The sequence below is a fragment of the Homo sapiens genome, chromosome 2 (assembly GCF_000001405.40).
Source record: "Homo sapiens chromosome 2, GRCh38.p14 Primary Assembly".
In the NCBI taxonomy this organism is placed as follows: domain Eukaryota; kingdom Metazoa; phylum Chordata; class Mammalia; order Primates; family Hominidae; genus Homo; species Homo sapiens.
In genome coordinates, this window is record NC_000002.12 from 224,887,045 (window position 1) to 224,900,753 (window position 13,709).

General features: G+C 38.3%; 1 protein-coding gene across 23 annotated transcripts in view, besides 1 other annotated feature; it reads right to left on the bottom strand.

Annotated features, from left to right (window-relative positions):
• Positions 1-13,709, bottom strand: part of DOCK10 (dedicator of cytokinesis 10) — a 277,379-nt gene that overhangs the window by 121,955 nt on the left and 141,715 nt on the right. For all 23 annotated transcript variants that reach the window (XM_047444930.1, XM_047444929.1, XM_047444922.1 and 20 more), the window contains exon 4: positions 9,251-9,333. In XM_047444930.1, the coding sequence (XP_047300886.1) occupies positions 9,251-9,333 (83 nt within the window). The remainder of the gene's footprint in view (positions 1-9,250; positions 9,334-13,709) is intronic.
• Positions 5,566-6,192: an enhancer, noted in NCBI's record as "NANOG hESC enhancer chr2:225757327-225757953 (GRCh37/hg19 assembly coordinates)". NCBI's record gives its function as "activates a minimal SCP1, AML or CMV promoter by ChIP-STARR-seq in naive H9 embryonic stem cells {active_cell/tissue: H9 hESC(naive)}" and the evidence as "EXISTENCE:reporter gene assay evidence [ECO:0000049][PMID:30033119]".

The window sequence follows — 13,709 nt, forward strand, 5'->3', positions numbered from 1 at the left end:
GAGCCACTGGCGTTTGGCCTTCTAATTACATAAACTTACACATATCTTTTTGAGTTAGATGTAGGCAAGCAGGACAATTTGAAAGGTTGGGGAGTTTCTATTTTCCTTCCCCCACATTTGTAGGTGGAATCACTACTTAATAAGTAGTGATATTTTCATTGTCATTTCTGTGTCATCTGTATGTGACATACTCAAGGGTACACAGTAGTCACTGGAAGAGCCCCAGCCCTGAAGAACCATGACCCTGAGAACCAGTCTGTACTGTGGCCACTAGGCTGTGTTGCTCCCTAACCATGGCCTCCTCAAAAATGTGCACCAAAGGGACTGGTAGCAATTACACTTACTTTGTGCATTTCCATGGTATCCTAGAAATGCCTATTCAAGTTGCAACATCTCCGACCAGCTCAGAGAAACAAGAGTGTGCATCTGGTTTTATAAATGGAAAATAAACCACAAATAAGTTTTCTTTGGCTTGATTCTATCTCATAACTAATGGTTGAATGGAAACCAGACAATACCATCCAAAGTATGGGCATTTCTTGATGTCTAGCTGTTTGGCCCCCTTTACTATATAAACTCCCATGTATAAAAATTTCATGGGATGTTTTTCTTTTTTAAAGTAAATTTTATTGGATATGCTTGAGGTTTACAACATGGTGGTATGGGAGGGATACATGTAGATAGTAAAATGGTATTATAGTGAAGCAAATTAACATAACTATCATCTCAATAGTTACTTTTTTGTAATAAGAGCAGTAAAATCTACTGATTTAAGCAAAATCACTAATGCAATCTGATTTCACTAACTTTAGTCCTCTTGTTGTACATTAGCTCTCTAGACTTCATCCTGCACATGTGCTACTTTGCATCAGTTCATTGACTTCTCCCTGTTTCCTCTCACCCCTGGTAACTGTTGGTGAGAATGTAGATTGCTACAAGCATTATGGGAAACAGTATGGAGGTTTCTAAGTAAATTAAAAATAGAACTAGCATATGACCCAGCAATTCCTCCTCTGGGTATATATTTGAAGGAGATAAAGTCGCCAGCTTATAAAGATATCTGCACTCCCATCATCATTGTGGCATTATTCATACTAGCCAATATATGGAAACATTCTAAGTGTCCATTGAAAGAGGAATGGATAAAGAGAATGTTTAATATATTAATATAGGCCTGTGTGTGTGTGTGTGTGTGTGTGTGTGTGTGTGTCTAGCATTCTCTTATCTATTCCTCTGTCAATGGACACTTAGGACGTTTCCATATATGTGTGTGCGTGTGCGTGTGTATACATGTGTGAATACATATGTGTGTGTCTGTATGTATTGTATGTATATGTGTGTGAATATATATGTGTGTGCATGTATATATGAATATATATGAGTGTATGTATATATGTGTGTGAATATACATGCATGTATGTATATATGTGTGTGAATACATGTGTGTGTATAGCATTCTCTTTATTCATTCCTCTGTCAATGGACACTTAGGAGGTTTCAATGTATATGTGTGTTTGTCTGTGTGTGTATGTATATACGTGTGTGAATATATATGTGTTTGTATGTATATGTGTGTGAATATATGTGTGTATATATTTATGTGAATATATGTGTGTGCATGTATATATGTGTGAATATATATGTGTGTATGTATATGTGGTGTGAATATGTGTATGTATGTGTGTGAATATATGTGTGTATGTGTGTGTGAATATATATGTGTATGTATGTGTGTGAATATATGTTTTTGTATGTGTGAATATATATGTGTGTATGTATGTGTGTGAATATGTATGTGTGAATATATTTGTGTGTGACTACATATGTGTGTATGTATATATTAATGTGTGTGTGTGTAAAATGGAATATTATTCAGCCTTAAAAAGTAGGGATTCTGCCATTTGCCATGATATGGATGGACCTGGAGGACACTATGCTAAATGAAATAAGCCAGACGTGGAGAAAAAAATTGTAGGATCTCATTTATATGTGGAATCTTAAAAAAATTAAATATGCAGAGATAATAAAACGGTATTTGTTTTAAGATTATTTATATTGTGTAAAAGCAACCTCTGAATCTGACTATTGAGAAAGGAAAGATCAGAAGTGCATTTGGTATTCACATCAGAAATTATTTCCTATGTTGATGGTACTCCAGATAGGAAGGTGAATGATCAGAGCTCTTTAGACTTAAGTATGCATAAAATTGCTATTCTGTGCACTCACATAGGTGTTAAGTGAGGGCTTCAAAATATGCTTACCCTCCCTTCATTTTCAGCAGGGAAAGTTAGAGCACAAAAGGAACATTGGCCTCACTGTTAAACTATGAAAAGCCTGAGATCAGAACCATGTTCTCCATTCCTGATAAGAAGTGTTTTTTATTGTGATAAAATAGACATAACATGGAAATTTATCATTGTAATCACTTTCAAGAGATGGTATTAGAAGCCTGCATTTAGGAAAGGTGAATCTTTAATAAGCACATTAAGTAAGATTGCTGCCATTTCTCTCTTCCAAAGGAGGTTATCCTTTCTTCTTGTAGAGTCTTAGAGATAGTCAAGCCTATCACTGCTGCCTGCACTGATGTTAACTTGTTCTGCCTCTTTTGGTCAGGGTCAACTTTATGGGATGGCAGAGGAAGTAGCAGAAGACAGAGTTCTTTTAGGATCACTGGGAAATTCTTGCTACCCCACCAAAAATATTCCTTTTCTCCTTAATACCATCTAACATGCTCTGAACAAGAAGCAGTCTCTCTCACCTTTTAATTTGATTGGCAAAAATAAAGCCTGTAAATACAACCCTTCCCTCTCCCCCACTCCTGTGAGAGGTGACATGTTGCCTGAGATTCAGAGGAAGGTTCCAATGGTTGATTTCAGAGCAATTGCTCCAGGTACCCTGTCTGCAGAGAACAGAAGATGAGTGTTCCAGGATTCTTAAAATGGTGGCACAGCAGTAAAGAAAGAACGGAGGAAACATCCCAAGTGAATGAAAAAAGAGTGAATCGGGAAAACCAAGGAAGAGGCAACAAAGACAAACTTGAAAGTGGAATGTCAACATTTGGCCCCGTGCTAGTCATTTCCCATCAGTTTCATTTGACCTTGATGCAATGGTATTTGTTTCTGAACCTCCTATTCTGTCCTCTTTGGCCAGCATGGCTTATCCTTCCTTCCAAAAGAATAATTTTGTAGGTATTTGTTCTCAATAACTGTGGATCACAATACAGGCCAGGCGTCGCATTAATGTAAATTTCCGCAAGATACTTATAAACAAGGAGGAGAGAAAGCCTTTCAAACTAGTAACGATGTAAAAACAAAAATGTGATGAAACAAAGTAAGGTTCTCTTGAATTTCAATGTAAAAGGCTAAATGCTTGTGAAAGTTTTTTTCACAAATCTCCCAGTTGAGAAGTGGAACTAATGACTGAGATAGACTATAAATTTCACAAAAAAGCCCATAGATTTAGTGACTTATGACCAACTCAGCTCAGAATGCCGCAGAAGTGTCTGTCACTGGAGGATGTCTAAACAAACTACAGTAGATCCACACACAGGAATGTTACTCAGAAAGGAAAAGAAGCTACTGATACGTGCAACAACGTGGATATCACTCAGAAGCATTGTGCTGAGTAAGAAAAGCTAGAAACAGGAACACACATGGTATGATTCCATGGTTATGAAAATCAGAGCACTGATTGTCTCTTGGGGGAGAGAAAAGGAGAGGTGAGGGTTAACCAGGGAGGGGTGGTAGTTAACTCTTTGGGGGTGATAACATTGTTCTGTTATCTCAACAGAGGTTTGAGTTGCACACGTGTACTGTGGTCAAAAGTTATCAAATGGTTCACTTACAATTTGCATGTTTTCTTGTATGTACATTTTATATCAAAAGAGAAAAAATGAACTGCAGACATCTATAGCTGTATTTAAAGGCGTGCATTCCGAAGAGTCTAGAGAGGCAGTGTGTCAATGTTTTAAATTCCACTTTAAAATGACCAAAAAATAAACCAAATTGATAGATGTCTAGAAGGATGGATGATGGATGGATGGATGGATGGATGGATGGGTGGATGGATGGACAGGTTGTGTAATAAAACAAATACAGCAAAACATGAAAGACACATTCTAGGTGATGGGAATAGTGGGATTCATTGTACACCAATCTTTTAACTTTTTCCTAGGTTTAAAATTTGCAGAAAACTTTTAAAGTGATGTGTGAAAAATTTGAAAGTGTTGAAATTATACATAGAGTGACCAAAAGTGATGTCTTCTGAACTGATTCTTTTTTATAGTAAAGATAATAAAAAATTGTACAACAGATACATATAAACTATTCTCAAAGTAAAGGTTGAGTAAAAATTTCTCAGTGATTTTTCCCTGATATTTTTGAAGAATAGATGATTTAGAAAAGAGAGAAGAGAGCTTCAGACAAATGATTGGAAACGTTTTTAGGAATTTCCCAAATGTCATATTTAACGCTATATTACAACTTATGACATTTCCATACTCTTTCTTTAATAAAATAAAACTTTATTTAAACATCCACTTTAAGTATTAATGATTCAAAAATAACTCAGAAGATATGAGACAGAGAATACCAATGAAGTCAATAGCAAAACTCAGAAGATATGAGACAAAGAATACCAACGAAGTCAATAGCAAAACTCAGTCAACCCCAGTAGTCCCTAGCCACATCCATGCTGATCTTAATCTTCACTTTTAAAAATTATGCAGACCAGAGACTGTCAATTTAAGTCAGATCTGGGGCTAGGGTTGTAGTGAATGTAAGCGTGCCACTTCACTGGTGGTTTTTCTTAATTCTGAGTTTGCTTGATCAAATTCAAAGTGCATTATTGAGAACTGTCTTAATTCTTGGGGGCCATTCTCCTTTGCCATTCAACATTCCAGTTTCCAGATATTACCTGGCTCCCAGAAGAGCTGCAATAATGTCAACCACATATCAGAAAATAAGTTCCTGAACTGAGGAAGCTTGCATTCTAGGGGAGGAGAGAGTCAATCATGAATTAAGCAGAAATAAGATAATTTCTCTGAGTGAAAATGGTTGTTAAGAAAATCAAGGCTGGGTGTAGCAGCTCACGGCTGTAATCCCAGCACTTTGGGAGGCCGAGGCTGGTGGATCGCTTGAGGTCAGGAGTTAAAGACCAGCCTGGCCAACATAGTGAAACCCTGTCTCCACTAAAAACACAAAAAAATTAGCCAGGCATGGTGGCCTACACCTGTAATCCCACCTAATTGGGAGGCTAAGGCAGGAGGATCCTTTGAACCCGAGAGGTGGAGGTTGCGGTGAGCTGAGATTGTGTCACTGCACTCCAGCCTGGGGACGAAGTGAGACCCTGTCTCAAAAAAAAAAAAAAAAAAAAAAAAAGAAAGAAAGAAAAGAAAAGAAAAGAAAAAAATCGAAGAGGAGAAAGAGGAGAAGAGCGATGAGTGATCCTTGTGGAAATGGCAAAGGCCACGTGTAGAAAGACTCTTCAAGGATGGCCTCTCTCGAGAGGTAACATTTAAATTGAGGAGGAGAAGCAGCTGGTTGTGTGATGACCTAGGAGAAAATCCCCTGGCAGAGGGAGCTGCAAGAGTACAGGTTCTGAGGAGGGGCCAAGTGTGGAGCATCCAGGAAGGAAGGCTGTAGGGGCTGGAAACAGTGCAGGAGGGAGGGCTGCGGGAGGGAGGCCTGTCCAATGCCCTTGGGCAGGGAAGGCAGACAGTGCTTGGATCATTGCTGAGGCTTGAGGGCTACTGAAGATTCTTATTTCCCAATCCGGTTTTTAATAAGCCACAAGGCACAGCCTCCTGCCTTTAAAGAGCAATCTTCAAGCTCAGTCACATGTCTGTGGGGCTACTATGCAATGACTTCTCTCTTTTAAAGGTCATGAAAAGATCAGCACCTGTGGCTATTGACTTTAAAATTCTTCCCCCAGGACCATTGCGTGGTCTCTAAGAGCCTCGGGGATACCAAGATAAAGGGCTCATCCCAGACCTTACCCTTTGGTGTTTGCATCCGACATTGGTGATAACTATAGGCAGCCTCATTTCTCTTTTCTCTGACCAAATGACCTGGATTACCCAGTGTGGGATGCCTGAGTGCCCCATCAGTTATCAGCTGTAAGTTTTGGGGTAAATTCCCTCTCAGTTTCCGAGTTTCTGCTATAAAATGAGGATAACAGTTCCTATTCCATAGGGTTATGAGTATTAAATGAGATAATGCATGTATGACACCCAGCACATTCTGGCTCACTGTAGACACTCAAAAAAATGCTCTTTTATTAAAAAAAAAACAAAAACTGTTCTATTTCAGCCCAGCTAAGCTGGTCACACTTTATTTGATCTTTAGTCACAATTTATACTCTTATGAATTTTTCTTCCTTACATCTTCTTTCTATCAAATCGACCATGGTAAAAAATTTTAATATGTCACACATCTCTGTATTTTACCCAGTGGATTAATGAAATCAGTGGCATCATATATTTTTATGCTGCTTTTTTCTTCTGGGATCTCCAAGTTAGTGCTGATTTCTATTCCTAGTGTGTAAAGGCTTACATTTTCCATTCTAGCCTGAAGTCATCTATTTCTTCAGTATCTTCCTATGGACCCTCGCTTAAAAATAAAAAAAGTGAAAATCTTAAGAGTCAATAATACACATTTAAATTTAAAGAATAAATTTCACCTTTTTTTTTGCTTTTCTATAATTGCAAATTTTCATTTTGCAGTCTCAGCAACTCATAAAAAGAAATAAGCAATTTAAATTGGTAGCAGACATAGGAGAATTCTTCTAATCCAGGAGGTATGAAAATGATTTACTTCTATTAGCCTCGGAAGACCCAAGTAAATTGTCTGTTTCCATTACTGACCTAAATACATGTAGTCTTTAGAGGGGAATGCTTAGCTTTGTAAAATCATTTTAAAGAATAATTCTGCTGTTCAGTGCTCATCTTCATTGTTCTGGGGTATATCTGAAAGGGTTATATTTTTGAACTTCTGATTTTCAGTTTGAATACATAAAGTTTCTTACTTTGTGGCAGTCTGATTCTTCCCTTTCTTGGTATTAACTTCCACTTTCTTTAGTTAAAGTAAGGGAAATTCTCAACAATACTTCAGTTAATTTTTTTTATTTCTTCTCATGAGATTAATCTTGCAAACTATGAGAATTGCAATTAAGCAATAATGTCCGGGATTGGTTTTTTCTAGAGATGCTTTCTCCATTGTTTTAACAGAGGAAGAATACTGTGAATGTGAAATCTCTAATTTGCTTTCTTTCTTTACAGCATCATGAATATAAGGAAAGATGAACAGTGTTTGGGGATACAGCCACTGAAGAGTGTAATGGACCTAAAGATGGTGGGAACACATTTAGTTAAAAGGATGGCTAAATACGGCTGTCTCCATCCTCTCAACTTGAGATGCAGTCTCCCAACTTCCGAGTTGTAACCACTTCTCAGAACTATTTTCAGAAAGAGGAAGTCCTGATGTTAAAAGATGCTTTGCTTTTCAGTTGTGCCTACAAAAACTGTGTCATGAACACCCAGACATTCTGAATGTAACAATTACTCATGAAAGCTTAGGGTGTGGTAAACCTTCCCAACATGAAGTTGCAAGAGCTTGTCTATCAGCAGGGATTCAAGTCAAAAAGAATGCTCAAAGATCTGGTAAACGTTACTGTTCAGTGTTTTGAAAAAAGATTTGCAGTTTAGAAGGGACATACTTTTTTTCTCTTCACGGTAATGAAACCCCAAAATAAATGGCCTCCTCCTGTCTTTTTCTTCGATTGCCACCCCTGCAGTCCCATTCTCCATAGAGTAGCCCAAGAGTTCTTTCAAAGAGGTAAACCAGATCATGCCACACCCCTGGTTGAAATTTCCAAAGGCTTTTGTTGCAATGAAAGTAAAATCCAAGCTCCTTTCCAGGGCACACAGGGTCCCTTGCCTAAGGTCCTTGGTTTCATCTTATTACGCCCCTTTCATCCTTAAGCTCTAGCCTTCCTGACTCAAGTGACCATACTGGTTCCCACCACTTCAGGGTCTTTGCCTTGCTGCTTCTCCAGAATCCTTTCCCAAGATGCCTGTGTTGGCAGCTACTGCCGATTCATATCCAAGATCAAATGTCACCTTCTTAAATCTAGTTCATAATCCCTCTTTCAAATTCCGCATTCGGAAATTGAGAGCAATGCTTCCAAGTATACAAGTCTTGAAAAGGTGCTTCTGGGGCCACAGGAAATATAGCAAAGTGGTTCCCAATTCTGTACCATGTGTCTATTAAAAATTAGATCCAATGTGTATCATATCAGTGCTTCACTTGAGGAGAGTGTTAATACAAACTTAACTTTTGATTGTTTCAAGTGTTTTTCTGAATTATTTACATAATCTTAGCTTGATGAACCAGTGAGTTGGGTAGAACCAGTTCAAGGAAGTTCTTTAAATATGAGCAACTCCAAACCCATCCAGGAATATTATATTTTAAAATTTGCCATTTACTCTGTTTGTTCGTCCAATAAGTAATTATAGTACTGCACACCTACTATGTGCCAGGCATTCTTCTTACAGGCCTGCAGGGGATTCTGCAGGGAAAAGTCCCTGCCCTTTGGGGATTTTTACTTTAGAAGGGGAAACAGACACTGAATTAATTTCTATTTTTGTTCAGGTAGTCAGGTGAGCTTTTCTGTGGAGGTGACTTTTGAGCAGAAGCAGAACAAAATTACTTTCTCCAAAGGCTTATGTTCCTGAGAGTCAGGAAAAAATCAGGTGTTTATTTTCCTTTTGGTTGTGTGTGTGTGTGTGTGCGTGTGTGTGTATATATATATATATATATATGTCTTTTGTGGAAGTTGTTTATTTTCATGACTTCTGATATCCCAGCATGAAAATACATGAAACAAGTAACAAATATGAATGCTATACAGAATATTGTCAGAAAAACTATTTGGCCATATGGTACTTTTCTAATCTTCTTGTGCCTGCTATTGAAAAAACAGCTCACAGAATAATAATACAATGATAAATGAACGTCAAAACTACATTAAAAAATTAAATCAGAGTATATTTATATCTGAATCCAAACTCTGTGATGATGCAAACTACACATGTTGAACAAAATGTCCTATCTTGACTCTTACTTATACATTTTGGAAAATGTGCCTTGACAGAAGATTAATGTACGTGTATTCATGAACAATGGCAGGACTAGAACAGAGGATGTCATCTATATTTGGAAAAGACCAATAAGTGCTCATAACAGGTTCTTACCGGGGTAGCTGTCGAATGTCTCCAGAATATTGTTCATATTTGTAGTTTACCACATGCCACTGGGAACTATAAAATTTACAAGCCTGAAAGAAAGAAAAATGACAATTATTAATATAAAAATTATCATTAAAAGGCTGGGCGCGGTGGCGCTTGCCTGTAATCCCAGCACTTTGAGAGTCTGAGGCGGGTAGATCACCTGAGATCAGGAGTTCGAGGCCAACCTGACCAATATGGCAAAACCCCAAAACTCCATCTCTACTAAAAATACAAAAATTAGCCGGGCCTGGTGGCGGGTGCCTGTAATCCCACCTACTCGGGAGGCTGAGACATGAGAATAGGTTGAACCCAGGAGGTGGAGGTTGCAGTGAGCCGAGATCACGCCACTGCACTCCAGCTTGAGTGACAGAGTGAGACTTCGTCTCACAAAAAAAAGAAAAAAGAAATCATTAAAAATAATCAACTGCCTAAGCAAAAAGTACCATGAAGACAGGTCTTGTGCCTCTGGGGTGCTGTGAAAGCTAGCAACTTAAAGGTAGATAAGGAGCTTGCTCTTTCCAATCATTTTCAATTTCCCATGGAAATCTAACCATTTCCATTCCATTCTTCCATTAAATAGGGGGAACTATTTAACATATTTATTCTATTTTACTTTATCAAAAAACTAGTTTAATTGCCCCTGAATCCTACCAGATATGCTGCTAACCTCAAGAACCATCATTTTTCAGCTTCCTTTGGCAAGCCCTGACATGATCTAAGAGTTCTTAGTAGGAAAAGATGTTATTATTTATATAAGAGCCTTTTGTCATGATTTTAGCCCATTCCTTCTTGTCCTTACTTCAGTAACCAATCTTTTCCATTTTGTATCATTGCTCCTGTTAGCCTGAAACTAGCTTTTCAGTTTTATCTCATGCCTTCTAAGGCACAGTCTTTCTCTGTGATTATTCATAGTTCTATTTTGTTTTATTTTATTTTTAATTTTTGTGGGTACATTGCAGGTGTATATATTTACAGGGTACATGAGATGGTTTGATACAGGCATGTAATGTGTAATAACCACATCATGGAAAATGGGGTGTCCATCCCCTCAAGCATTTATCGTTTGTGTTATGAACCATCCAATTATACTCTTTTAGTTATTTTTAAATGTACAATTAAATTATTATTGACTATAGCCACCCAGTTGTGCTATCAAATAGTAGGCCTTATTCATTCATTCTAGCTATTTTTTGGTACCCATTAGCCATCCCCACCTCCCCTCCACCCCAGCCTCCGGTAACCACCCTTCTACTCCCTTTCTCTGTGGGTTGAATTGTTTTCATTTTTGGATCCCATAAGTAAGTAAGAACATGTGATGTTTCTCTTTCTGTGCCTGGCTTATTTCACTTAACATAATGATCTCCAGTTTATTCATAGATTTTATAAACAGATGTGAATAACTGATAAGCAAAAATGATTTAGAAACATTAATGGCACAAAATAGTTATCATATAGTGGTACGTAATGACGGATTATATAATATTTATGGATGGAAATATTTTCCAAACACCTACCATGCACCTAGCACTGTACTGATCATAGATCTGTAATGGGATTTCACCTGATGGCTTTTGAGACTCCTTTCTATTCTAAAATTACATGATTCTGGGGAGTAAGCAGCTATCATTGGGATTATATGAACACCTGTTCTTTAGCATTAGGGGGAAAATGAAGAGTAATAAACCTATTGCACTGTGAGGAGTAAAGACCTGTGATTGTCTTTGTAAGCAAGAAGGGAATAGGTAAGGTGCAGGACTGCTGCAGCAAAGAAAGCGTTAGCACTGCCTTTGCAGAAAGGATGGAGGGGGGTGGCCTAGTGCACATCATAGAAAGGTGGACGGAGAACACATGTTCCAGGCAAGAGGCTCGAGATGCATGAAAAACGCAGGGCGAGGGGACGGGGCTGTTCTGGATTTTTCTGGCCTGGAGTTCTCTCAGTACCACGGCTTTATTTGTTCAGGGAGGTGCCCATACACAAACTGGGGACTGAGGACAAAACAAGGAGTGACCCTGGGACAGAGGTGGGCATAGGAGGATGACAGCTATGAAGGCAGGACAAAAGGAGAACTTAAAAACGAAACAGTGGCAAGACAGACGAATGTAGAGAAGAATAGTAAAAGGGAAGTCAGGGGATCTGGAAGTACTGGAATGGATGGGGAATTTGAGCAAAACAGTATGGTGAGCTGTAGCAACTTGCCAATGCCTGAGCCAATTCTGCAAAGCACGTGTTTCTGGAAATAAGAGGAAAATTGAGCCTTTTTTTTGAGACGGAGTCTCGCTCTGTCGCCGAGGCTGGAGTGCAGTGGCGCGATCTCAGCTCACTGCAAGCTCCTCCTGCCGGGTTCACACCATTCTCCTGCCTCCGCCTCCGGAGTAGCCAGGACTACAGGTGCCCGCCACCACGCCGGGCTAATTTTTTGTATTTTTAGTAGAGACGGGGTTCACCGTGTTAGCCAGGATGGTCTCGATCTCCTGACCTCGTGATCCGCCTGCCTTGGCCTCCAAAAGTGCTGGAATTACAGGCGTGAGCCACCGCACCGGGCTGATAATTGAGCCTTAATATGCTCCTTTGCTGAAATGTTTTATCTTCATTTTGGATAAAGATGCCAGGGATTTAGACAAGGAACATACAGGTCAACAGTATCCAAGCCAAGGAGACAGAACTTTCATGGTTATAATTCTTTCTCATCCCCTCTCTCTTCCTTTCCTTTTCTTTCTTTCTACCTTGCTGTGGTTCTCAAATGAAACAAAATCCATTTTAAAATGGAAAAAGAAGAGCATAAAACCCACTCCCTTTTTGCATTCCCTTTCAATCCTTTTTCTGTTGCATAGTTTAATGTAGTTCCCCCTAAGTATTTATTTGAATATGAATATTGTTTTTTATTTACTTCATAACATATTCTATAGATTTTTACACTTGCTTTCTAATTTTATAACCACTTTAACTAAGTAGAATAAAATATTATCCCCTAATTCCCTAGCCCAGTCTCCTCATTTTGGAGATCATTCATCCATGAATTCATTGAACAAACATTGAGCCCTACTAGGTTACCCGGAGTTGCTCTGGGTAGTGTGAATATAGCAGTTAACAAAAAACAAAATTCCATGCCCTCTTGGATTGACCTCCTTGTGAAGAGCTGATCAATAAACTAAAAACTAAGTAAATTGTGTTATATGTTAGAAAATGGTGGTGTCATGGGAAAAATAAAACAAAGGAAAGGGGCTGGGAGATTTGGAACAAGGGAATTAATTTATATAGGCTGGTTAGCATGGAGCTCACAAGAAAGGTGAGACTTGAGCAAAGATGTAAAGGAGAGAACAAAGTGAGTCGTTTTTATGGCTACTTCCAATTTTGGGATATTATAGAAAAAAAATGCCCCAGAGTATATCGTCATGCATATGGCCCTCCTACTCTCCCCCTATACCACCCTATTTTGATTATTTTCTTAGGATAGAATGCTCAAAGTATTTTAAGGATTCTTTGATAAAAATAGAAAATTGCCAAACCAGTGTATATTCTAAGTTAGCAAAATGAAAATAGAGGGTACAGCCTTGGGAACTAGGGGATAGAAGGCTTTATTCTTGTCCTGGGACTAGGACTGACTCCTGATGTGATCTTGGTCGAGACATTTTATTTGTTTGGATCTCAGATTTAGTTCTTGGGCATTCACAATATTGGACTGGATTAGAAATTTCTGCAGCATCATTTCTATCTCCACACTTTCTGATCTGGAGGTTTCAATGGGACACAGATGCAATGACTTACTCACTGCCCTTTCTTGCTATTGATGGTACCTATGTTTGACCATGATAAACATGTACACTCATGCATGTTATGCATGATGTTCACAATATGCCACAGGTGTAGCCGAATCTAAGATATGCTAGTCTTGAATTTCACTGACAAAAATGAATGTGGCACTTTCTTATATTAGTATGATACTAGTAAAAAAAAAAACACAAAACTTTCTTTTTTTAAAGCTATAAATGTTTGTCAGATACTGTACTACTAAGCACTTTGCATACAGTCTTAACAAGCATTCTTTGAGACTATTATTCCCATTTTATAGATTAGAGAGGCAAGCAGAGGTTCAGATCTTTGACCTAGGCCCCATAGGTGGTAGAAATACAATTTCAAACTGGATTTGTCTGATTCTAAAAGTCTATTCAGCTAATTTATAAATTGTTTGATGGTTGCAAACCTTAAAAATGAACCGCACATTTGGACCATCATTCTGGATGTTTTGTGTAATATTTCTGTTTCTGTTTTAGAATCAGACAGACCTAGTTTTGAATTTTGGTTCTGCCATTTAATAGCTGTGGGATCTCAAATAGCTTAATATCTCTAAATGCTTTTATCTGCCTAAGTAATACCACCTTCGCTAGGATCAAATAATTTGTGTGAAGCGCCTAGCATAGTGTA